This window comes from Homo sapiens, chromosome 2 (genome assembly GCF_000001405.40).
Source record: "Homo sapiens chromosome 2, GRCh38.p14 Primary Assembly".
Classification (NCBI taxonomy): Eukaryota; Metazoa; Chordata; class Mammalia; order Primates; family Hominidae; genus Homo; species Homo sapiens.
Window position 1 is genome coordinate 190164786 of NC_000002.12, and position 24501 is coordinate 190189286.

General features: G+C 41.1%; 1 protein-coding gene across 7 annotated transcripts in view, besides 4 other annotated features; it reads left to right on the forward strand.

Annotated features, from left to right (window-relative positions):
• AKAP19 (A-kinase anchoring protein 19) overlaps positions 1–24501 on the forward strand; it is a 323923-nt gene that overhangs the window by 285224 nt on the left and 14198 nt on the right. Inside the window, exon 1 of one of the 7 annotated variants that reach the window (NM_032321.3) lies at positions 16078–16343. The exons of 5 other annotated variants lie outside the window; for them this stretch is intronic. The gene's annotated coding sequence lies outside the window, so the exon portion shown is untranslated. Of the gene's footprint in view, positions 1–16077; positions 16344–24501 lie in introns of those variants that run through there. One more of the 7 variants, NM_001042519.2, reaches the window with a different exon arrangement.
• Positions 15434–15533: a silencer, noted in NCBI's record as "silent region_12174". NCBI's record gives its function as "represses an Ori minimal core promoter by ATAC-STARR-seq in GM12878 lymphoblastoid cells {active_cell/tissue: GM12878}" and the evidence as "EXISTENCE:reporter gene assay evidence [ECO:0000049][PMID:35858748]".
• Positions 15804–16253: a silencer, noted in NCBI's record as "silent region_12175". NCBI's record gives its function as "represses an Ori minimal core promoter by ATAC-STARR-seq in GM12878 lymphoblastoid cells {active_cell/tissue: GM12878}" and the evidence as "EXISTENCE:reporter gene assay evidence [ECO:0000049][PMID:35858748]".
• Positions 15804–16831: a biological region, named in NCBI's record as "H3K4me1 hESC enhancer GRCh37_chr2:191045543-191046342".
• Positions 16032–16831: an enhancer, noted in NCBI's record as "H3K4me1 hESC enhancer chr2:191045543-191046342 (GRCh37/hg19 assembly coordinates)". NCBI's record gives its function as "activates a minimal SCP1, AML or CMV promoter by ChIP-STARR-seq in naive H9 embryonic stem cells {active_cell/tissue: H9 hESC(naive)}" and the evidence as "EXISTENCE:reporter gene assay evidence [ECO:0000049][PMID:30033119]".

The window sequence follows — 24501 nt, forward strand, 5'->3', positions numbered from 1 at the left end:
AAAAAGAATAAAAATAAAACTTACATTCCTTGAGTGCACAATATTTGCCAGATATTCTAATGCTAGCAGGCATTTCCAGTTTGGGAGCTACTGTAAATACAGATGCTATGGATAGTCTTATCTCTTGGAGTACATGTGCATGATTTTTGTTGGTTATACATCTAAGAATGATCATTTCTAAGTCACATCATAGGTATGTATTAGCTTTAGGTGATAATACTAAACATTTCCCAAAGTGGTTGTCTCAAGTTTTCCTCTCATTTACAGTATAAAAGAATCCCAGAAGCATTTACTTCATCTTATAAGAACCAGAACCCTGATTATATTATTAGCATTAGAATTAAATTTAAAAATTTTAAACCAAATAGAGGCCAGTCCTGGTGGCTCACACCTGTAATCCCAGCACTTTGGGAGGCTGAGGCAGGTAGATCACTTGAGGTCAGGAGTTCGAGACTAGCCTGGAAAACATGGTGAAATCCCATCTCTACTAAAAATACAAAAATTAGCTGGGCATGGTGGTGGGCGCCTGTACTCCCAGATACTCGAGAGGCTGAGTCAGGAGGATCACTTAAACCTGGAAGGCAGAGGTTGCAGTGAGCTGAGATCCTGCCACTGTACTCCAGCTTAGACAACAGAACGAGACTCCATCTCAAAAACAATACAATACAAAACAAAACAAAAACTAAAACCAAATAGAATTTCAAGAAATGAAAAAAAATACCGTAACAAAAATTAACCCAAAGCATGAGCTAAGTTGAGAATTAGACATAGCTGAAGACAATTTATAGAACTTTCAATTTACAGAAATTATTCAATATGCAGCACAAAGATATAGAGATGGAAAAATGTGAGCAATTAAGAGACATTGAAGGTAGAATGGGAAGGTCCAACATATGTCAGAGAGGAGTTCCAGGAGGAGAGAATGAGGGGAGGCAATAGTCAAAGAGATAATAGCTGAACAGTATTTATGTTAGATGATAGACATTAATTCTCAGATTTAAGGAACTCAACAAATTCCAAACAGAATAATTAAACACCCATACCTACACATAAAACTTTAGAGCACCAAATATAAGAAAGAATATTAAAGAAACTATAAAGATTACATACAAAGGAATTGAAGGAATGGAATAATATCTTCAAAGAGCCAAGGGAACATTCCTAGCCAGCTAAAATATTTCAGAAAGAATGTCAAAGAAAGTTGTATTTAGAAAAAGAGTGAGTTTACCACTTAGATCTTGACAGAAAGATTACTAAATGATGTACTAACTGCAGAAGTAACTTAAATCTAGAACAAAGGAATATAATAGAAGAAGCACTGGTGAACAAAGAAATTAATATTATAAGTAAAAAAGAGAAATATGCAAAGCAGTTATTTAAAATATGAGAGAATAAAATGAGCAATGTAATGCTGATAGACTTTAAAACTCAGGGAAAATGGGAAATCTTCTGGAAAAATAAAGATTTCCAAAATTGACCCAGCAAGTGTGAAACTTGACTATGTGAAGGAATTAAAAAAAAAAAATCCACTCTTTTTTTTTTTTTTTTTTTTTTTTGCTGAGGTCTGCTACACTTTTGCAAAACAGATTGTTCCTATCTTATATAACCTGTTCCAAAGACTAAAATAAATGGAGTGCTTTCCAACTCATTTTATAAAACCATTATAACATTAATACCAATACAGGAGAACTGTTTAAAAACTATAGGTCGATATCACTCATGAACATAATACAAAAATAAGAAAATACATGTGCAAACCAAATCCTGCAATGTATTAAAAAGAATTACAACCAAGTTTGGTTTATTCTAGAAATGAATAAATGATTTAGCACTTGAAAATCTATATAAGTTATCACATTAACAGATCAAAGTAGAGAAACCATTTGCTTATCTCTACAGATGGAAAAAAGCATTAAAAAATCACCCATTCATAAAAAATATCTTAGAAAACTAGGAATAGAATGGGACTTCCTTGATCTGATTTTCTTAACTGCCAAGCCCTACAACAAACATTGTAGTAAAACATGGAAATAGTCCCTTTAAAAGCAGGAACAAAAATAATTCTGCCATTGCTACTGCTATTCAATTATAGCCAGCAAAAAAAGAAAAAAGAAAGAAAAAAGAAAGAAAAATGAATGACATGAGGACTAGAAATGAAAGACCAATTATTTATTTGATGGAACATTGTCTACATAGAAAATTTTTAAATTATAGATCATCTATTAGAATTATTGAAAGTTCAGCAAGTTAGGATACCATCCAAAATGTAAGAAAAATATAGGGTATTAGTTTGTTTTCACACTGCTGATAAAGACATACCCAAGACAGGACAATTGACAAAAGAAACAGGTTTATTGGACTTACAGTTGCATGTGACTGGGAAGGCCTTACAATTATAGCGAAAGGTGAAAGGCACGTCTCACATTGTGGCAGACAAGAGAAAAGAGAGCTTGGGTAGGGAAACTCCCCTTTTTAAAACCATCAGATCTCATGAGACTTACCACGAGAACAGCACAGGAAAGACCTGCCCCCATGTTTCAGTTACCTCTCACTGGGTCCCTCCCACAACACGTGGGAATTCAAGATGAAATTTGGGTAGAGACACAGCTAAACCATATCATTCTGCCCCGGCCCCTCCAAAATCTCATGTTCTCATATTTCAAAACCAATCATGCCTTCCCAACAGTCCCCTGGAGTCTTAACTCATTTCAGCATTAATTCAGAAGTCCACAGCCAAAATGAGACTCTGAGACAAGGCAAGTCCCTTCTGCCTATGAGCGTGTAAAATCAAAAGCAAGTTAGTTACTTCCTAGATACAATGAGGGTAAAGGCACTGGGTAAATACAGCTGTTCCAAATTGGAGAAATTGGCTGAAACAAAGGGGCTACCGGCCCCATGCAAGCCCAAAATCCAGCGGGGCAGTCAAATCTTAAAGCTCCAAAATGAACTCCTTTGACTCCACGTCTCACATCCAGGTCATGCTAATGCAAGAAGTGAGTTCCCATGGTCTTAGGCAGCTCCACCCCTGTGGTTTTGCAGGGTACATCCTCCCTCCTGGCTGCTTTCATGGGCTGGCGTTCAGTGTATGTGGCTTTTCCAGGTGCACGGTGCTAGCTGTCAGTGGATCTACTATTATGGTGTCTGGAGGATGGTGGCCCTCTTCTCACGGCTCCACCAGGTGGTGCCCCAGTAGGAAATCTGTGTGAGGGCTCCAACCCCACATTTCCCTTCCACGCTTCTCTAGCAGAGGTTCTCCATGAGGGCCCTGCCCCTGCAGCAAACTTCTGCCTGGACATTCAGGTGTTTCCATTATATCTTCTGAAATCTAGGCAGAGGTTCTCAAACCTCAATTCTTAACGTCTTTGCACCCATGGGCTCAACACCCTGTGGAAGCTGCCAAGGCTTGGGGCTTCCACCTTCTGAAGCAACAGCCCCAGCTATACCTTAGCCCCTTTTAGTCATGGCTGCAGTGGCTGGAACGCAGGGCACCAAGTCTCTAGACCACACACAGCATGGGTAGCCTGGGCCTGCCCCACAAAACTATGTTTTCCTCCTAGGCCTCTGGGCCTGTGATGGGAGGGCCTGCTGTGAGGGCCTCTGACATGCCCTGGAGACATTCCACCCCCACCCCCCCACCGCCCTCCCCACTCTGTTGTCTTGGGGATTAACATTTGGCTCCTCATTACTTATACAAATTTCTGCAGCTGGCTTGAATTTCTCCTCAGAAAATGGAATTCTCTTTTCTATCGCATTGTCAGGCTGCAAATTTTCTGAACTTTTATGCTCTGCTTCCCTCATAAAACTGAATGCCTTTAACAGCACCCAAGTCACCTCTTGAATGCTTTGCTGCTTAGAAACTTCTTCCACCAGATATCCTAAATCATCTCTTTCAAGTTCAAAGTTCCATAGATCTCTAGGGCAGGGGCAAAATGTCACCAGTCTCTTTGCTAAAACATAACAAGAGTCACTTTTGCTCCAGTTCCCAACAAGTTCCTCATCTCCATCTGAGACATCTGAGCCTGGATTTCATTGTCCATATCATTATCAGGATTTTGGGTCCAAGCCATTCAACAAGTCTCTAGGAGTTCCAAACTTTCTCACATTTTCCTATCTTCTTCTGAGCCCTCCAAACTGTTCCAAACTCTGCCTGTTACCCAGTTCCAAAGTTGCTTCCACATTTTCAGGTATCTTTTCAGCAGTGCCCCATTCTACTGGTACCAGTTTACTGTGTTAGTCCTTTTATGCTGCTGATAAACACATATGCGAGATTGGGTAATTTACAAAAGGATGAGGTTTATTGGACTTGCAGTTCCATGTGACTGGGAAGGCCTCACAATGATGGCAGAAGGTGAAAGGCATATCTCACATGATAGCAGACAAGAGAAAAGAGAGCTTGTCCAGGGAAACTTTCAAGACTATCAGATCTCATGAGACTTATTCACGGTCAGGAGAACAGCACAGGAAAGACCTGCCCCCATGATTCAATTACCTCCCACCGAGTCCCTTCCACAACACATGAGAATTCAAGATGAGATTTGGGTGGGGTCACAGCCAAACCATATCATATAGCATTCCTGTATAGTCTTTTGTATCCTGCAGCTCAAGCTGGTGAGGTGGTCTGAATGTGAGGGACTATCTCACTAAGAGCATGAGGCACTCTGATAAAGATACGGAAGATTAGGGCCTGACCTTCTCAGTTTCACTGATAACAGAGTAACTAACACTTGCTGTGATTTATGAGATAGAGAAAAGGTCCAAAATTTGACATTAGAGAATTAGGTAGCCAGGCTTCTTATGAACAAATAACAGGGAAGCCAAGTTGGATATTTGCATTTCCTATTCCACCACATTTTAGGAGAAGATGTTTAAGCATTATGAAATATGATCAGCTACTCCCTCAGTGAGGTAATATGCATTTGCCTTTGGGGACTCGGGTTAGCATGACTCCACATGGTAACACTGATTAGGCTTAGCTGGTTTGGGCTTAAGATACAGCATATTAGCTGGATGCTTTAAGAGTAGAACAAATGGCTTTAAGTGGCAAGACTTATCAGATGTGATTCTGTGGGAGAAGTATTAATAGCCTTAAACTGGTACAGGTTGTTTTGAAATTAAGCCTGCCAAGACACTTGTTTGTCCTTGAAGATGAGAACATAAGATAAGAGCTGTTAAAATGTATTTTTGCCATTAAAAGTAATGGCAAAAACAGCAATTACTTCTGCACGAACCTAATGTAACAAAAATACCACAGGTTGGGTGGGCTTTAACAATGGAAACTTATGTCCCAGTTCTGCAGGATGGGAAGTCGAGATCATGGGCGACAGCACAATTGGGTTCTGGTGAGGGCTGTCAAGGAGCCAGGGCAAGCAGGCTCTTGGGTTTCTGTTTTTATAGGGGCACTAATTCCATCCTGAGGGCTTCACCCTCGTGACCTAATTACTTCCCAAAGGCCCCATCTCTAAATATGATCACATTGGGGATTAGGGTTTCAACATATGAATTTGGGAGCAGGGGGGAACACACTTAGGCCATCATAGACTTACAAGGCTGAATCCTAGCTGAGTTATTTGTTATTATCAGATGTGGTACAGATTTTCTCCATCAGTGGCATATTGCCAGGACCATCAACTTTGGAACTGGGAAGAGACATACTTAGCTCTCTGAACTGTTTCTTCATCTTTATATATGCATATATTATTACCTGTTTTTCATGGTTTCAGGTTTTTACTGTTGGGGATTCAATCCCAGCAATGTTAGTTTCCTTATGTTTCTGTCTCCTCACCCGCTGCCTCCCATCCCCCATCCCCAACCAGGACCCAAAGATGGACTATGTCATATTGATGGGTTTTAATTTTGCTCTTAGAAAAGAGAAGATAACTGATATTAACCGTAGAAATTCCTATGAAGCTTTTTTTTAATGAGACAGCAGCCTAATTGTTCACATGTAATCTCAAATTGGGATGATGTATTGTGGTAAAGAGGTTAGATTCACTATTTTCTTATCGCTTTTTGTAAATTAGATGTGCAGAGTCACACTCAGTTCTTAGATCAGGCTGGTTGGGAGTCTGGAATGTTGATAAGAGACTGTGTACATTGAACTTCCTTGTACATAAAAACTGGATAGTCTTAGATCAGATAAAGTAGCAATGTCTCAAGAATTGAACTCTCTGGAACTGAGCTAACCACTCTCTTGGGAAATAAAATTTTAATTTAACTATCTGATGGGCTCCCAGGAACTGTCTTTAATTGGTGGCTAGTCCTTTAAATTGAGATGGTAATTTAGTTCAAAACCAGGAAGTATATTTGGGTTCTTAGAAAGACCTCTAGGAAGCCAATCAAACAAGCACTTTTCTCCTTTCATATAGAGCATGGGTTATCCATAAATTGCCTCTTGTAACCATAATTCCAATTCTTTATTACAAAATGCAAGTAAAATAGAAAAAAAGTTAAAAAAAAAAACAAACAGTGCAATTCTCATACTATTTAAAATATTTTACTGAAGGTGAAGGAAGGCCTGAAAATGAAGCCAAAAGAGGTAGGAAAACTGCACTAGTAGCTAATTCCCACCTAACAACCCCTTAAAATGATCATGGTTTTCTTAGAGGTCCTCCAAAACTATTCTATTCAACTTTTCAAAATGAAAATCATTTTATTGGACTTTTTTTCTGACTACAAGTATAATCAATCTGCATTGTAAAGTTTTTTTTGTAAGTTCAAAAAAATACAAGCCTTTCTCTAAAATTCTTAGTTCTCTCAGTCTCAGCTAATAACCTTACCTTGCTTTACTGAGCACTGACGTGATTCCATTTTTCTTCAACTCTACTCAATAAATATATAATTGGTGGATATTTATTTCTCTTTTTTTGGCCAGAAAAAATTTCATATTACTCAAAATACTTAAATTCAATGGACAGTGTTTCCATTAAGTTTTAAGAGCTTCAGATCTTGGTAGTTAGTGGCAAGAATACCCACAAATAGACTAAGTTTATGGGGGGAAAATAACTTGCTGGGGAAAACAAAACATTTTCTTTGAATTCTTTGTTATTGTCTCAGGCATTACGGTAGGCCAGGTCAATATACTTTTTCATCTGGATTTCTGTGGCATGATTGGTTCATGCCACTGATCTCTACCCACATGTTCAGAGTTGCCAAATTTACCCTAGATCTATTCAAGAACAATTTTTACATCATTTTTACAATTTAAGAATTTTCAACGGGTGTCTGTTCCTTATCTTAACAAATCACCCTAGCTTGGCACCAGCAGGTTGAACATGCCTTGCTAGTTATTCTCTCATAGACTCATTTTTTTCCCATCCATATGTATTCTATCTGCTCCATGCTCATTGCCACGCCTGTTCTTTGGCATAGGCTATATGCACTCATTCCCTTCTTTCAACAATTTAAATGGTAGGATTGTCTCATGGTTCAGATCCAAACTTACCCACTTTTCATTGACCTCCTGTTATTTGCATTTTACAGTATTTTCTGTCCTCTCCCACTATTATGCATTTACTAGTTTGTTTACTTATAGCTATACTTTAGTTATTTTATAACTATCTTATCTCTGTGGCTGGCTCTATGTTGGAATTGCCAATGTAATATGAAATATAACATCCATGGTATAGATCGTTGTCCAGAAACACAGAAAACCTAGAAAATATCATTGTTCTGAATACTTTATCACCCTATTCAAGCCAAATATTCTACCATCAGAAGTCCACCAGTTTTGTTGACAACCCATCATTTTTTCAAATCTCCATACCTTTACAATGGATACTGCTCATGACAATTAAGGGATTAGGAATTAGATAGGAGGTTTGCTGCCCAGAACTAGGGCCAGATTTAGCAGGCCATTCTGAGGACACCTGAGATGTTGGAAAGCAACACAGAATAATAGAAGGAGCACTGGCTTTGGACTCAGGCCTGGTTCAAATTCAAGTTCTAGCACATATTAACAGTTACCTTATTTTTTCCATTTTCTCATATTTAAAACAGAAATTATACATACCTCACAATGCTAGTGTGACAATTAGATGAGATGGCATGGCCAAGTGCAGTGGCTCACGCCTGGAATCCCAGCACTTTGGGAGGCTGAGGCGTGCCGATCACCTGAGGTCAGGAGTTGGAAACCAGCCTGCCCAAAATGGCGAAACCCCGTCCCAACTAAAATTACAAAAAAATTAGCTGGGTGCAGTGGTGGGCACCTGCAATCTCAGCTACTCCAGAGGCTGAGGCAGGAGAATCACTTGAACCCGGGAGGCAGACGTTGCAGTGAGCCGTGATCATGCCACTGCACTCCAGCCTCGGTGACAAAGAGAGACTCCATCTCAAAAAAAATAAAATAAAATAAAAATGAGATGGCATGTGAAGGGCTGTTATGGTTCTCAGCACATAGTAGATGCTCAATAAATAGTAACTATTATCTCTAAGTTAGAGTTAATTCTCTACTACATCTGATGAGGTTAGCAGTTAAGTGAAATATCACAAACCATAAAATATTCGTACATAGATAGTTTCTTATGTTGAATTATCTGGAATTCATGAGTACCAATTCATTCAACATTTGGCAGTTGGTTTGCTCTCTAAGAAAAAATGTTCAAAAGATTGAAAGCTGCCTCCTTAGCCAAGGACCACAGCAGAACTCACTCTGTCCTCATAGAGGGCATACACTGTAAGACGTCAAGATAATGCCTGTAGTACTGGGGTGAATGTAGTTCAAATGCCAAGTGCACGTGAATTTATATTGTGAAACAACTCCTAAAATGATAGAATCTTGGCTTTGAGAAATTTTATTCTTTGTAAAAATCTCCCTCATAGCTTCCCAGATAGATCATCTGACTTCTGGTTGAAAGGGAAGCTCACCATTTCACAAACCAGACCATCGTCTTCTAAGTTATAACCAATAGACAGTCCTCTCTTAATTAAATCCAGAACTCCCTGCTGGAGGATACAGTAAATTCCTCTTCAAAGTTTAGCCTGTTAACTTCCTTTAAAATTCAAGATCGAGAAAATTGTTAAGTACAGTGAGTTCTGAGTTTCTCTCCAAAGAACCAATATGTCAGTATGTTCAGCTTCCCTGTTCTTTGTTCTCCATCTTAAAGTCTGACTTTCTTGTTCTTTACGTCTTCTTGCCCCTAGTTTCAGTAAACAACCCCCTCCTAGCTTCTGTCACCTGCTCTGTCCTTAGTCACCTGCTCTGTCCTTAGTCATCCTTAGTCACCTGCTCTGTAACCATCCCTCCCACCAAAACTACTCACCCTGCCACTCCGGCTCCTACCTTTGCTCTCTTTAAAATAGCCCAGTCAGAATTAGCTTAGACTGTGTGGTCCAACCCTAGCCAATAGGGGAAAAACATAGCAGTAGGGACTAGCTGCATTAGGAATAAGACCCCCTTCCCCCACCGTGTCTGGTGTGCTCTCGCCATTGCTCCATCCACAAAACACACCCTTCTATAGAAGTAAATTGCCTTGCTGAGAAAACTTTTGCCTGAGGACTGTTTTCACTTGGTGGCACTGAGCATTTACTTCCAACACTGCCATGACTTCTTCCTGCTGGTTCTCGTACTGCCCATCAGAGCAGCGCAGATTAAATACAGTCCCTTGTCCATATGAATACCCCTCAGATTTCTCTTCTCATTCTCCTTAACTTCTTCAGGATAAATATTCTAATGTCTTCAGTTATGTGGCTATGCCCCCTTTCAAGGTATATTAGTCAAATATTTAATTTAAAAATCATGAGCTAATAAATATGTGAAAGTCCATAATTCCAGGGAGAAGCTAAACTATGTTGATCAAATTGGGACAGATTGTTTTTAACACCCAAGGCAGTGAAACAATGGAAAGTGACTCATACTGAAAGGCACATATGCCCTAAGTAAAAAAAACAGAACATACAATATAATATGAAATTTGAAATAGCAAATTTTGGACCAATGGTTATTGCAGTATTTATATGACTTTTAACAATGTCTTATACTCACATTTGTAAGCAAATAAAAGTTGGCCCCATCTTGATGCCAAAAATGGTTATCAAAATAAATGCAGGTGAAGACTTATAGAAGCTTGGATTCATGGGCCCAAGCAGTAATGTTCTTCTCTGTTTAAACTGAGATGAAATTATATAAAGCACCAAAGCAAAGAATCATGCCCAACTCCACAAACATTTCATGCCTTCCTTGTGTCAGGTGTTGGAAATAAGCACATAAGATACATAGATTACATGGAGTACATAGTTCCTATCCTCAAGATGCTCAGAATTTGGTGGTGGGGGTAGGGGTGGTAGAATAAATATAGGTAACCATAAAAGACAACAACAACAACAAAATCAGACGCTTATTTATTTCCAGGCACGTCTACCTCTTTGGGGATTGTTAAATCTACTTATACCATAGAAATATAGTGTCTATTAATGATGCTTTAAAGACTTCAAAATGTACTTAAGTTCAGCGTAAAGATCTTTTGACAGATCTTGTATAGGAAGATGAGGCTTGTTTACGGACAGATGCACATCAGTAAACTTAAAGACCAAACTCAACACAAAAAGGAATGCAGAACAACTTTAAGAACCAAACAAGTGAGAAGAAATAGACTGATGGTATAGTTGACAGCTTATATAGTTGTAAATATAATGAACAGAACTGGATTATACATTACACGGTCAGGAGATACTATTCCACAATAGTCTCATGCTCTGCATTAAACTCTTATTTGGAACTATTCCCTAGTTTGGGTTGCCGGACATTTAGTTACACCTGGAGAACCAGAATGGGTCTAGAGCAGCCTAACAAAATGTGAGTAAAGGAAATTCTGTGAGAAAAACTAAAGAATTTTTTTCTTCAGGAGTGAGAAGCTTGGAGGGGCTATTTGATTTTTGTCTTCCACATAAGGAAGATAATGTCAATCACTTCTCACTTCAGTGACATAATGAGTAAGACTACAATGGCCTACAGTACCATTTGGAAAATTTAATTCATAAGAGCTTTTAAGCATATCATGATATATATTAAAATATTATAATGGCAAACTGCCATGGTTTGAATGTTCCCTCCAAAATTCAGATGTTGCCGATGTGATAGGATTAAGAGGTAGGGCCTTTAAGAGGTGATTAGGCCTTTGGAGCTGTTCCCTTGTCAATGGGATTAAAACCCCTTTAAACGAGGCTTCTTGTGGCATTTAGCTAGGGTTCCCCACCTCTGGAGGATCCAGCCCTCACCAGAAAACCTACCAAACCTGCTTGTGCCATGATCTTGGTCTTCCCATCCTCCAGAGCAGTGAGAAAACACATTTCTGTTCTTTAAAAATTATCTTGTCTTAGGTATTCTGTCACAGTAGCACAGAATGGGCTAGAACAGCAACTCTGCTGGTAGGTTTACATTTTCACTTGTTTGGCTATATAGGTAATCTAATGATTTGCAATTTGATTCTGGGAAAATGGTAAACAAGAAGAGGTCTTTCCCACAGTGTCATTAAGGTTCACAACAAGGTTTTAAAGCCTGCTTGGGCATAGAAACAACTAGGAGTAGTAAAAAATAGTTCAGGAAAAGTTTCAGGAGTAAAGTATGAGACATTTTCTTTTTTTCTTGACACAGAGTCTCGCACTGTCACCCGGGCTGGAGTGCAATGGTGTGATCTCGGCTCACTGCAACCTCCACCTCCCAGGTTCAAGCGATTCTCCTGCCTCAGCCTCCGGAGTAGCTGGGATTACAGGTGCCTGCCACCACACCCGGCTAATTTTTTTGTATTTTTAGTAGAGACGGAGTTTCAGTATGTTGGCCAGGCTGGTCTCAAACTCCTGACCTCGTGATCTGCCTGCCTTGGCCTCCCAAAGTGCTGGGATTACAGGCATGAGCCACGGCATCCGGCCAAGACATCATTTTCATACCCACTCCTAGTTCTTCATCAAGAAACATTTTTAGGTGTCTTGAGTTACAGAAAGTGTTAAAGAATCAATACACCATTTCTGCTTCTGAATTTTTAAAGCTTTGTATCCTAAAGCCTTAATTAGGGTCTGACATGAAAATGTGTCTGTTGCCTACTCAGAGAAGATATCTGGGCCTCTCAGCCAAATCCGAATAAAATCTTAGCAAATACGAGGTAAGTTCACTGTTTTGGAGAGGCCATTTTAGATTGAACACACAAAAACTAGCACATAAAACCTGAATCAGTGAGAAATATATGTAAGAAATAGCCATGTTTTCCAATAACCACTAAAAGATTTTTTTTTTCCCTAGACCAGTGGACTGTTATTATATGAGAAACAAAGAGGTAGAATCTAAAAATGAGTTTCCTCAATGGTCATACCTATGTGCTATTCTATCAGGGTTCATATCCCATAATGGTATTTTTTTTCTGTCTCCTCAGTAAGTTTATCTTGTTTGCATTTACATTTTCCTCTACCCACTCAGTTGGCTTTGGCTTCTTATTTTGTAACCTGAGATAAGTTCTAGGGGTAGGGGTGGAGGTGGTGGGAGCAGGTGGGGAGTTAGTGTCATTTTCTATTCTTTATAAATCTTTTCTGTGATTTGCGTTACCTCTCTCTAGCGTACGTGAATTCTCTAGCCTCCATGTGAATGAACACTCGCAAACTATGCCATCCCCCTCTCCAGTCCTCACCACTTCATTATCAGAAAACCAACTGAGACATTTGACTCTCTGATATGCTTGTAAGAGCCCCAGTGGCAGACAAGTGAATCCCAGGGCCCGGATCCTTCCTGACAAGGCCACATCATCTCACTGCTTAGAGTACTTTTAGAAAGGAGGTCCCTTCTGCCTCGCCGGCATAACCTCCCTTGCTTCTCCCAGAGGTGCAAGCTCTGACTGGTCTGCCTGAGGCAAAAATGGAAGTTAAAGGTGCTCGTTTAAGTAGAGAAACCAGTGGCGGGAGTCAGCTATGTACCTCTGTGGTCTGTCTGTCTGACGTGGAAGTTTTATGGGGCTGGGGATGGAAATGGGAGTTCTTTACAGAGCAAAGAGTATGTGAGTGCCTTGATTTGATTCTGCTAACTGCAAGTTTACTATTTAAAATGCAATCCTCAATCCAGCTCAGTATTTGTTTCCTGTCAACAGCATGGACCCTAGGGTGAGATTGCTTATGTTCAAATTCCAGGATTTTATCATTGCTGTTTTTATGAGTTTTACTTCTATGAACTCTGGAGAAAACAAAACCACTAAACACTTGCTACGGCCCCTCACCCTAACCACATTCACCTCAGGCCATCGCTGGGTCCTTCGTCACCCCTTTCACTTCATTCCCCAGCTTTTAAAAAGTTATCTCAGCACTTTCAAAATCCTGCAGTTTGTCTCTGCCACCACCAGTTTGAGGAGTTCTTGGTTCCTGTTGCCTCTATCCTTGTTCAAGCCCAGGTGAGGACAGAGGGGCAGAAATGCTATGCCCTGACTCCCAGTTCTAGGCTGGGCAGCTGGGAGGAGAGCCAGCTTTCCCGAATCCCAGGGGCAGAGGGCGCCAAGTTCCCTCGACGCATCTTCCCTCCAAGTCTTACATGGCACCATCTTGACCAGAAGCATGGCCTGCAGTCCTGAGGAGAGAAGTCAAGGCTATTTTCCAGGCCCAACCTGCAAGTACCTGTTCACACTGGCCTGGACCTGAGAGAGGCCCCACAGAGAGGAGAGCAGAGAGGGCCACTCACAGAAGGGTGGTGGTGCGGTCTCCCCACCAGCCCCAGGCTTGTCCCTCCTGCTCTACTCTCTCCAGTGCACACCCATGAGGGCAGCCGGGCAGATGGCAGAGGCCACGGGCTAGGTCCTCCCTTAGTCATCCCTGCCAGACCTGACCTGGGTCTCCCCCACCAGCTTGGCCAGCCCTATGATGGCGAAGGAAGGGTCAGGCTCCAGCCTGGCAGGAGCAGCTTGGCTCGGTGTGTAGGCCTCGCTCCCTCATGGCCCGCTTCATCTGTAGACCAAAGGCTGGTCCAATTTGTTCTCAAACTGAGTGAAAGAAATTTTCAAGTTTATGGGTTTCTCTTCTGATGGAGGCCAGAGACTCTCACCCACTTTTTCTTTCCTTCTGACCTGGTAACTGGGAAGTAAAAAACACAAATTTCTAAGTGTCTCCTCTGCCTAGATCACATCAAGAACTGACGCCATCCCCTCAGTGTGGAACCCAGGGGTCTCCTAAGGATGATTCCAGCACTAGGTTGATAGAAGTTTAAAGCTGGGGAAGGAAGAGCACAAGAAAATTACATAACTTAAGTGAAGAACTAGGCCTAAAAGTGGAACCTTGCATTTGAGCATAATTATTTAGCATGGTGTGCCTGAAATATGTAGAACTGAATAATTTGTTTTATGTAAGTATAATCAATTTGTATACATTAAAATTGATACTGGCTGGGTGCGGTGGCTCACACCTGTAATCCCAGCACTTTGGGAAGCCAAGGCGGATGGATCACCTGAGGTCTGGGGTTCGGGATCAGCCTGGCAAACATGGTGAAACCCTGTCTCTACTAAAAATACAAAAATTAGCCTGGCATGGTGGCAGGCGCCTGTAATCTCAGCCACTCAGGAGCTGAGGCAGGAGAATCGCTTGAACCTGGGAGGTGGGGGTTGCAGTGAGCCAAGATTGCGCCATTGCACTCCAGCCTGGGCGACAAGAGCAAGACTCCATCTCAAAAAAAAGAAAAAAAAAATGATACTTATCAGAAAAATCAATTAATATAGGTATACTTACATTCTATGATTGTCAGGATGTACCAACTCCAATCCCATTAATCATACTAGCATGAAGAAAAATTACATTTCTGGGCCACTGGGTTTGTATATAACCTTAGCTAATTTAAGCCTGGATAAAAATAAGAATGCTTGATTCATTTAAAATCTGAGATTCTGGGATAGATTTTTGTGTAACTTAAACTTCTCAACTCTTCTGCAATCTAGGTTTATTTTTTACTATAATGTACCTTCAAAGAGCTAAGTCTCAGTTTATAGATTGTTAGTTTTTTAAGTTCCACTCTCTTTCGTTGTACTGCTGAACTCTGGGCCTCTGTGTCCTCATCTGTAATGTGGAGTCAAAATTATCACTAAGGTCCCTTCAAGCATGAATTTCGCATTGACTAATCCGTTGTAGAACACAAGGAAAATAATGGTTCTTTTGTAGTTCTCTTGGGACTTTTACTATTGCTAGAAATCATGCTGGGCAGATGCAGGCATCACATGGACTGTGCGGGGAAGTGTAACTCAATAATGGCCATGTTTTGAGGCAGTGGTATTCAATGCTTTAAAGAGTGAGAAAATGGCCTTTAGAGATACTTTGTTTGAAAGAGAAACACGCTTGGAAAATGTTCTTGAGTATTTCTGTATGGAAAAGTATAAAATGGATATGTCCTTTAAATGTTTAAGTACTTCCAACACTTTTGCTCTGCATACTCATGGTGCAAACGAGGTGGGAAGGGCGGAATCCCTGGCCTAGCTCTGCGAGAGTGGGGTTTCAGGTCAAAGCAGGTCTGGCAGCTCTGCCCGGCCCAAGCGCAGAACCCTTAGCTGGGAAGGCCGCGGCCAGGCTGCGGGGCCCCCTGCAGGCGGGCTCAGTGCCCCGGCCCAGCACCTGTTGTCCCAAGGCAGGCCCCGCGGGGGAGAGGCCTTGGAGGGCAGCGCCCCCTCTCACCAGGGCGGAGCTCAGGAGAGTTCGCAGCCCAGGGGGCCGAGACCAGGGGCAGGGCCAGCGAAATGCCTCGCTGGCTCTTACTTTCATTGACCTCTGCGATGCCTCGCTGGCTTCTGCTTTCATTGACCTTTGCGGGTCTGTTCCCGCTGCGGCGCCGGCAGCTGCTTGGTAGTTGCGGGGGGCGTGAGGGCGGTGGCCCAGACCAACCGGCTGGCAGCCCAGCTCCGCTCCGCCCGCCCCTGCCTCGGACCCTGCGCCTGAGGAAGTATCGAGGCAACCCTCTGCCACCCGAAGTTCGTGGGTCGCTCCCAGAGGGCGCGCCCTGGAGCCGAGCGCCCTTGGGCGGCCATCTGGAGGCCAGGTGCGGGCCGCGAACCCGCGAGGAGCGCGCGGCGGGCGCGGCGGCGACGGCAGGAGGAGGGGCCGGGAGCCCGGGCGCCGCCGAAGGACGCCCCGTCCTCCACATGCTGCCACTTGGCTGAGCCGGGCGCCGGCGAGAAGGCGGCGCCGCTGCCCTGGCAGCTGGACTGCACTTTGCCCCCGCCCGGCCTCAGCTGCCGCCCGCCCAGACGCCAGCAAGCCCCCCTCCCACGACAGGGCTGCTCCGGGAGCTTCGGAGACCCGCCCCGGGCCTGAGCGCAGGCTGCCTCCGGGACCCCACGGCTGTCCGGACGTGCCATGGGCGCGCAGCTGCCGGGCAACGTGTTGTGTAAGTGAACATCTGGGAGGTGGGTGACTGGTGAAGGGCGGGTGTCTGTCGGTCTTTGCTTGTCAGCTGTGCCTTTTAGATTTTTCAATGGCAGAAACCCATGAGTTACAGGAGGCTTTAATTAAACGAGACCGTTCTCAGCCAGCTGCCGTGGATAGAGCCTCACATCTCCGTCCCCTAATCGAGAAGAGTTAGCCCCTACCCCTTCAATTTTGTTCTGGGCTTCCCAGTGAAAGGTATCTCATTATGAGTTGCAATTCCACCCTGCTGCCTACCTGAAGAGTGAGTGAAGATTTTCAGGTAAGAGATTTGCCCGTGAACATTGCATTGATATGCCAAGCTGTCAGGCTTGTGCTCTGAATGGCATATCATGAGCAAAGTATTAGCTCTCGTGCTCTTTGGAGCTGTGGGAGGCTGAATATTGAGGTGAAATGATGCAAATAAGAAATTAAGAGGAGTAGACGGGTAAGATCCTTTAGCCATGAGTTAAGGGGTCAAAGAAGCAAAGCGGAACAATTGGAGTTGTCTCTCTTGTCTCTGGTCTGACACCAGCCCTTCCCCTATCCTTTAGGGAATTAGGTTAACATAAAATTGTAAACTAGTAAATGTTCTTATCAAAGACCATCTTTTTAGGATCTAGTGTATGTGGCAGCTCTCTCAGGGAAATTTTTAGATAAGAATTCGGAGGAATAGGGAATCTACTTTTATTATGACAAAGTATAAATCAAACCAAGATCAACAGTTGGCTATTCCTTTTTCCCTTTGGATGAGGCTGTTTTCAAACACCTAACATGGCTATCATAAATAGATGGCAAATAACATTATTTAGGCATTCTGCTTTCAAGCAGAATGGTCTGGAAGAATAATTTCAGTTTTTAATTTTGTTTTGCCATTAAACAAAAATTATAATCATTACTTATTTAGGTCCACACAATGTTGTAACAAAAGGATGCTTTAAAATTGTAGACCAACCTCCAATCCATTTTATTATCTCCTCTGTAGCACTCCTGACAGGCCAGCCACATTTTGATTGAACACTTCAGTGACAGGAAGCTCATTACATTTTGACGGGTTCCTCCTTTTCTGTTGTTAGCAAGGCCTTGTTTACGCTGAACTGACAATCACTTAGGAAGCAGTACCTGTTTCTCATTAGTCCTACCTGGCCAATAGCGCTCCAACTGTGAACTTAGAAACAAGATTTTTCTGCAAAAAGGATCTGAAACTTTAGTCAGTCTGAAAAGGGTCCATGACCCAAAAATAGTTAAGAAATGAAAGGTCTAAAGTGATACAAAATAATATTTTTGTCTCCTTTGCTTGACAGCCTTTCAGATCCCTGAGCCTCAGTTTCTCATCTGTAAAATGGGAATAATATACTTTGTCTAACCCTAGGGTTACTGTGAGGATTAAATTAATAATATTAATAAAGTACTTAGTAGAGGTGCCTAGGAGTCAGTAAATGTTAGTTATCTTCAATAAATACTAGTTTTTATGTTTCCTTCCTTACCTAAGACCCCTCTCTGTGCTAAAGATCCTTAGCCCAAAATTGAATTCAATAAGTCAGTTTAACCCAAACAGTGCAGGGTGCAATGAGCTGCCATCTTCAAATAAAATAATCTATTGCTTAATTGGCATTTGTAGTAAATACTCAGAAGTTGACTAAAAACCTCACCTCCATACCCCGTGTGCTTTGCTGTCAAGCAAAGGAGACAAAAATAAAGGTAGGCTTTATTAATTTTTAAATTATGCAGTTAAGCATTTCTTGAATCTGAATTTCTTTTTTCTCTTGGCTTGTATTACTTAAAGCCTCTGTATGGTTTGCAGTTTGTTAGATAGACGTTTTAATCTTATGTCATTCATCATGTTAATTCTACTTTTCAGTTTTGTGTCACCTACACATTTGCTGAGTTTATTCACCAGACATTCAAGTCACTGATAATAGATAGGACAAGTCCTTTTACTGTGACCGTGGTACCTCTAGAAACCTGTGGCACAGTAGGAATGGTCCTGGATTTTTGGAGGCTGGTTTTGGAGTCTGGCCCTGATACCTATTAGCTTTGTGACCTTGAGAAACTTCAGTATCAATAAAATGAGGTAACATCTGCCTTTCAGGGTGGTTGTTAAAATTCAAAGTATTGAAAGTGCCAAGTACGATAATGGCTGGAAATCTAGTTGGCCTTCAGTAGATTTTGCTTGAACTAATGAATTCGCTGGACTCAGCCCTTTCTTATCAAACTATTCTAGTCCATAGAGCAGTCTTCTCCATAAGGACATTATGAGAAAAATGTCTTGCTGAAAAGTAAAGATCTTGCATATTCCCTGATCTACCACAAAAGTAAATAACATTAGTTTAAAAATGAATGATTCTTAGCAAATTGTTAGTTCCTAGAAATCCGCAGTCTTTTCCTCCACCCCTCATTTTTCCTTGTTTAATGTTTAAGTTTCGAATTTTGCCAGAGATAGATGTCAAACTATTAGTCTGTAAAGTCTAGGAATTCTAATTCTTTCTTTTAATTTTGAATATTAAAAATAAAAACACTGGGGGAAAAAAGTTCTGTTTGAATCTCTAGTCTCTTGAGACTGCCCTTCTTCTCCATGTTTTTATAGAGGTTGTCAGAATAGTTCTGTGCTGACATCTGCAGGTTCTTTTGGTACCCTGGAATATAATTCACCAGAATGTGAAGGCATGGACTATTTTAAAATGACCTCTTCTGCTTGCACCTTAGTTCTCTCTTAGTGAGGTTTCCATACTTTCCAGCTTGAAAATCATTTGCTTTTAAGGGAGCAAAATGTTGCTGAGCAGTTTTGTTTTCTTTCTCATTAGAATACGCTATCTATCCTTGGATTTGAGAATTTTAAAATGAGCCTTTCTTACTATACTTTCCATATAGTAAGTATACTATGCACAACATGCACTAAGTCGGTGGTTGAGAAGTAGAACCACTCATGGTGTTATAATGTTAAAAGTTTTGGCAGTAGTAAATAACTCTAATCAGTATCTCACATGGGAAGAGCCTTGTATTTTAAGAATGAATTTATTCCTTGTAAGTTAAAAGTTGTGAAATTAAGAGTGTTTCACAAGGGGCTGAAGGTAACATAAATTAGTGAAGCTGAATGGGAGGGAGTAACAGATATGTGACCCAAAGAGTGAATGCCTAGCTTAGAAATATTCTAATTCAGAACAGTTTCAACACTGCATTGGCCCAACAAAACACTGGCCCAAACACTACTGCAAGTTTGTAGTCTTTGCATGTAAACAGCCTGCAAGAGGCAGAACTATGTAAATTTCACTGTGTTCTTCCCAACATCTAACATACTATAGGCACATGGATAGTTGATAAATAGGAAAACTTTAGTAAGCATTCATTAATCGCCTTGATGTAGAGAACTGTTCTGTACAAAATAAAGAAAAAAATAACTCCTGCCCTTGAGGAATATCTAATCTCATTTGGGGAGACAGCATTTATAAATTAAAGACTAGACTTCAGTTCAAGAACAGAATTCTGAGGAAGGGCGGGAGGAGGACTAGGAAGTCTGCAATAAGGAGATACGGCTTCCCCTATCCTCAAAGATAGTACTTGGGTTTAAGTAAGGAACAGGGGAAAGGGTGCTGGGTGGAGATAAAGGCGAGGTGGTGTGTTTCAACTTAAAGGAGGACTAGGAGTAGGAAATGAGAATGGGTGAGCCAAGGAGACTCACTTGATGGGAGAGGAAATTTCCTTGTATTAGTGAGAAATTAAGTCCATTGGGTAAAAACAGGGCTTTAAAAAATGGTTACATTAAATGTACCTCTCTTCCCCCAAGACACTGTACTGTTAGGCCACAGAAAATAGGAACCATACAGTAACTCTTTAGGTAAAGATGTGGAGTATATGGATCATGAAAGAACTATGAAACTTTAAATGGCAAAATTTTCTGAATTTCTTGGTCCTCTGACCTAGAGTCCTAGTGAATTTGAACACTGTTCTTCCATGTCTCTATACCAGAGTAATGATTCTTTTCAGTGCTCAAAATTACATATACTGCTGCCTAGAATTTAATTCAGTGCACAGCACTTAACACTCTTTTATTAATTTATGCCTCCTACTTGTTCTAAAATGAAGTGGTTTTACTACATAAAGACTAATAGAAATTGAATTTGTAGGGGAGGAAAAAAGCTGTCCTCTACCCTCTTAGGTTTGTGACCAAGGCCTGTGAATCAAACTGATAAAAGAGTAATGGCATAAATAGAACAGATTTAAACACACGTATGCACAGGAGTTTGCAAAAGAAATGTGACTGGAGGAGGTGGTTAGAATTTGGGGCTTATCTACCAACTTAACAAAATGATAAAGCGGGAAGAGGTTCTAGATCAGATTTTCTTTACTAGTTGGTCAGAGCTCCTTTTCATTTTTCTGTGAGGATTTATATTATGGTGCTGGAGGAATTGCTGCAGATTGAAGGTCAACATTCATGGCCATAAATAGGAGTGGCCAGATGAAGCCACCTGGTAGCCAGAGTGAAGCCCAGAAGGGCTTAGGGAAATACCTGCTTGTGTATGTGTGTGGTTTTTTTCCTCTACCTGGAGGACCTGGTAAATGAGATGAAGTATTGATACCTGGACTTAAGACATCTATCGCCTGTTCAACAGTTAGTCTATCATCTAATTGTTCAAAATCCTAAATTACTGTTGTCATTCTTAGATTATAATTCTCTTTCCTCAATTATAATCTGGAGATATAATACAACACTTAATAATTAGATGTTAGTAGCTTTAGGAGACAATCTGGAGAGATAAGAAATGGAAATAACACAGAACATGTTCCACGTTCCAAGGGAAGTTCTAGATGCTTTACATATAGATTCACAATTTTTATTTTTTTGAGACAGAGTCTTCACTCTGTCGCCCAGGCTGGAGTGCAGTGGTGCGATCTTGGCTCTCTGCAACTTCTGCCTCCCAGGTTCAAACGATTCTGCTGCCTCAGCCTCCCTAGTAGCTGGGATTACAGGCATATGCCACCACACCTGGCTGATTTTTTTAGTTTTAGTAGAGATGGGGTTTCACCATGTTGGCCAGGCTGGTCATGAACTCCTGACCTCAGGTGATCCACCCACTTTGGCCTCCCAAAGCACTGGGATTACAGGCGTGAGCCACCATGCCCAACCAAAATCACAATTTTTAGATGACTGAGGTAGAGCCCAGTTCACAGATAAAATCATACCATACCGCTTTATTCAGGTTTATTAGAATCTCAAACATTGTCTCATTTCTTAACAATGTTATTTTCTCTGCCTCTCTATTGAGAAATTTTGGCCCCAAGTGTGACCACATGGAGTCATCCTGAGCCCATCCTGTCAGTGACCAGCTGTACAGTGTGTGTGCTCTAAGTGCCTAAGGATGAAACCGACTTCTCAGTTTCTAAGGTCCCTACAGTAGTGTTCTTTCGGTGACCTTCATACTGACCAAAGTCATATATACAGTATTTTGTAGCTTTTCCTTTTTGGTGAAAGACAAAGAACACTACATTTAAATTATGTCCATTTCTGTTTGCCTGTTTAACCAATGTCATTTGATCCTGTTGTGAATTTATAGTCCAAGTGAATGATTCTCAATACTCCCAGTACAAAGACCTCCACTTACTGTCCAGTTTTCACGGAGCCCTACAAGAAAGTATATTCTTAGTATCCATTATTAGAGAACATATAATGACAAATATGTTACTAGGAACTGAGATATATGTATTTTTTATAAACTTATTTTTTATTTTTTTTGAGACTGAGTCTCACTCTATCGCCCAGGCTGGAGTGCAGTGGCGTGACCATGGCTCACTGCAACTTCCGCCTCCCAGGTTCAAGTGATTCTTGTGCCTCTGTCTCCTGAGTAGCTGGAATTACAGGCACCTGCTACCATGCCCAGCTGATTTTTGTATCTTTAGTAGAGATGGCATTTCACCATGTTGGCCAGGCTGGTCTTGAACTCCTGACCTCAGGTGATCTGCCCACCTCGAGTTATGTTTTAATGAATTGGTATTTTTATTAATCACATCTACACTGAAATTTGAAAGACATTTTATATATATATGCATAAAACTTTTTCAAAGACCACAACATGGTTTTTTTATATATTTACATTAATTCAGGGTGAGACCAATTTTAAGCAATAACTTGAGATATAAGGCATCTTAGAAACCTGTGTAAAGGCTTAAGAATATGACATAAAATGGGACAATGGTAAAATAAACCATCCCTGTTAATCCAGTGTTTAAGATGGACTTCTGGGGAGTTAGCAGCCTATTCGTTTACACAGCAGATTTTAGAAGTTACTTTTTTTTTTTTTTTTTGCTGGTTTTGTGTTTGGGTCCAACTCATGTCCAAATTATGGCCTTTTTGTGATACCTTCCACTGGCATATTCCCAAGGAATTTACTCCTTTTGATGACACTGCACCCAGAATGGAGGAACACAGCTACAAAATGAACTATAAAGAAGGGCTAGGCAGGCATGGTGGCTCACACCTATCATCCCAGCACTTTGAGAGGCCAAGGCAGAAGGATCACTTGACGCCAGGAGTTCACAACCAGCCTGGGCAATATGGCTGTCTCTACAAACAATATAAAAAATAACGTGGGCATGGTGGCACGTGCCTATAGTCGCAGGTACTCAGGAGGCTGAAGCCAGAGAATAGTTTGAACCCAGGAGTTCGAGGCTGCTGTGAGCCACAACTGGCCACTGTACTCCAGCCCAGGCGATGGACTGAGACCCTGGCTCTAGGAGAAAAAAGGTGGGTAGCTGCAGTAAATCACATTTTTTCTTTGACGGACCCAACAGAAGGCCCAGTTGTTGCTAGATCTCTTCCTGAGGATAGTGTCAGGGCTCATTCTATATTTTTAGAGCTTTGAGCCTTCAAATAACATTGAAACATGTAAAGGGGCTTTCTTTTCCTCATGTATGACTGTCATGTGTATATATGTGTCTGTGCATTGTGATTTGAGGGGTAGGAGACAGAGGGAGAGGGAGTGGTGGGTGGAAGGGCACTGTTAGATTTTAATACTTATAGCCTGAATAAATTATATTCTCTTTCTCCTTTTGATTTTGTTAATTTTGGAAGCACTTACATTCTATGGGCGCAGGTTCTAAACACATAGTAGACACTCAATATAGACTGGTTGGATGGTTAAGGGATGCTCTGATAGTTCTTTTGTGTATCTTGAGAACTAAGGTATAAAAGATTGATTTAAATATTTTTGAGAAACTGTGTTTTTTAAACATTTTATATTTCTGTAATTAGCCAGTTAAAATGACAAGAAGGCCAAAACACTTCCTGGTTGATATGCAGCATTTAATGTATCACACCTTCAACTGATGACCATAGTCACTTCCCAACCTGACAAATGAATAACAGACTAAAAATTAATTCAGGACAGCTGATCACACCTGCTATCTTAAGGCTAATCATAGCTGCCTAACCACTGACTTGCATTAATGGCTAACATTGTTGAAACTTTATTTCCTCCTTATGAATCAACTATCTTATTAGGAGTGATTGAAATTATACGAAGTTTGTTCTTCACTGGTGTGCAGGCTTATACTGTAATTGCCTTTTAAGTATTTAAAGTACTGTATTGTAACTGCCTTTTAAGTATTTAAAAGTATTTAAACAGCTGCTATTATGAACAGTAGATGCTTCACATGAACTTTTTTTTCCCTCTTGGCTCTTACTTTAAGGATGATGCTTTTTTATTCATGATAAATCTTGAGGCTTCTGTGGGATGGAAACTATAGCATGAAAATCTGATTAACAAATATGTGGGGGCAGTTTACTAATCCATTCAATTAGGGCAACTGCACCTTCTCAGCATGCCATGAGCAATTCCATTAGATAGCTAGTTACTGGACCAGATGATTACCTAATTACATGAATATATCAGTGTCATTTTTCCCAACACAGGACTTGAAGGCCAGATTTGAGAACTAGTCCTGGGGTAGTAGTACCCAGAGACCTGTTTGGGAGACTGGGAAGGTCTGGGCCATCACGTTCTTGCTGATAGCCCAGAGATCAGGTCAAGGACAGGGGCAATGAGAAGAAAGAAACAGAGACCCTGGGAAGGAGCTATCTTGGTCTTTACCGGCAAGAATTAACTTCAAAGATGGGACAGAGGTTCTATAAGTTCAAGAAAGGGAGAAAGTTAACACTTAAAAACA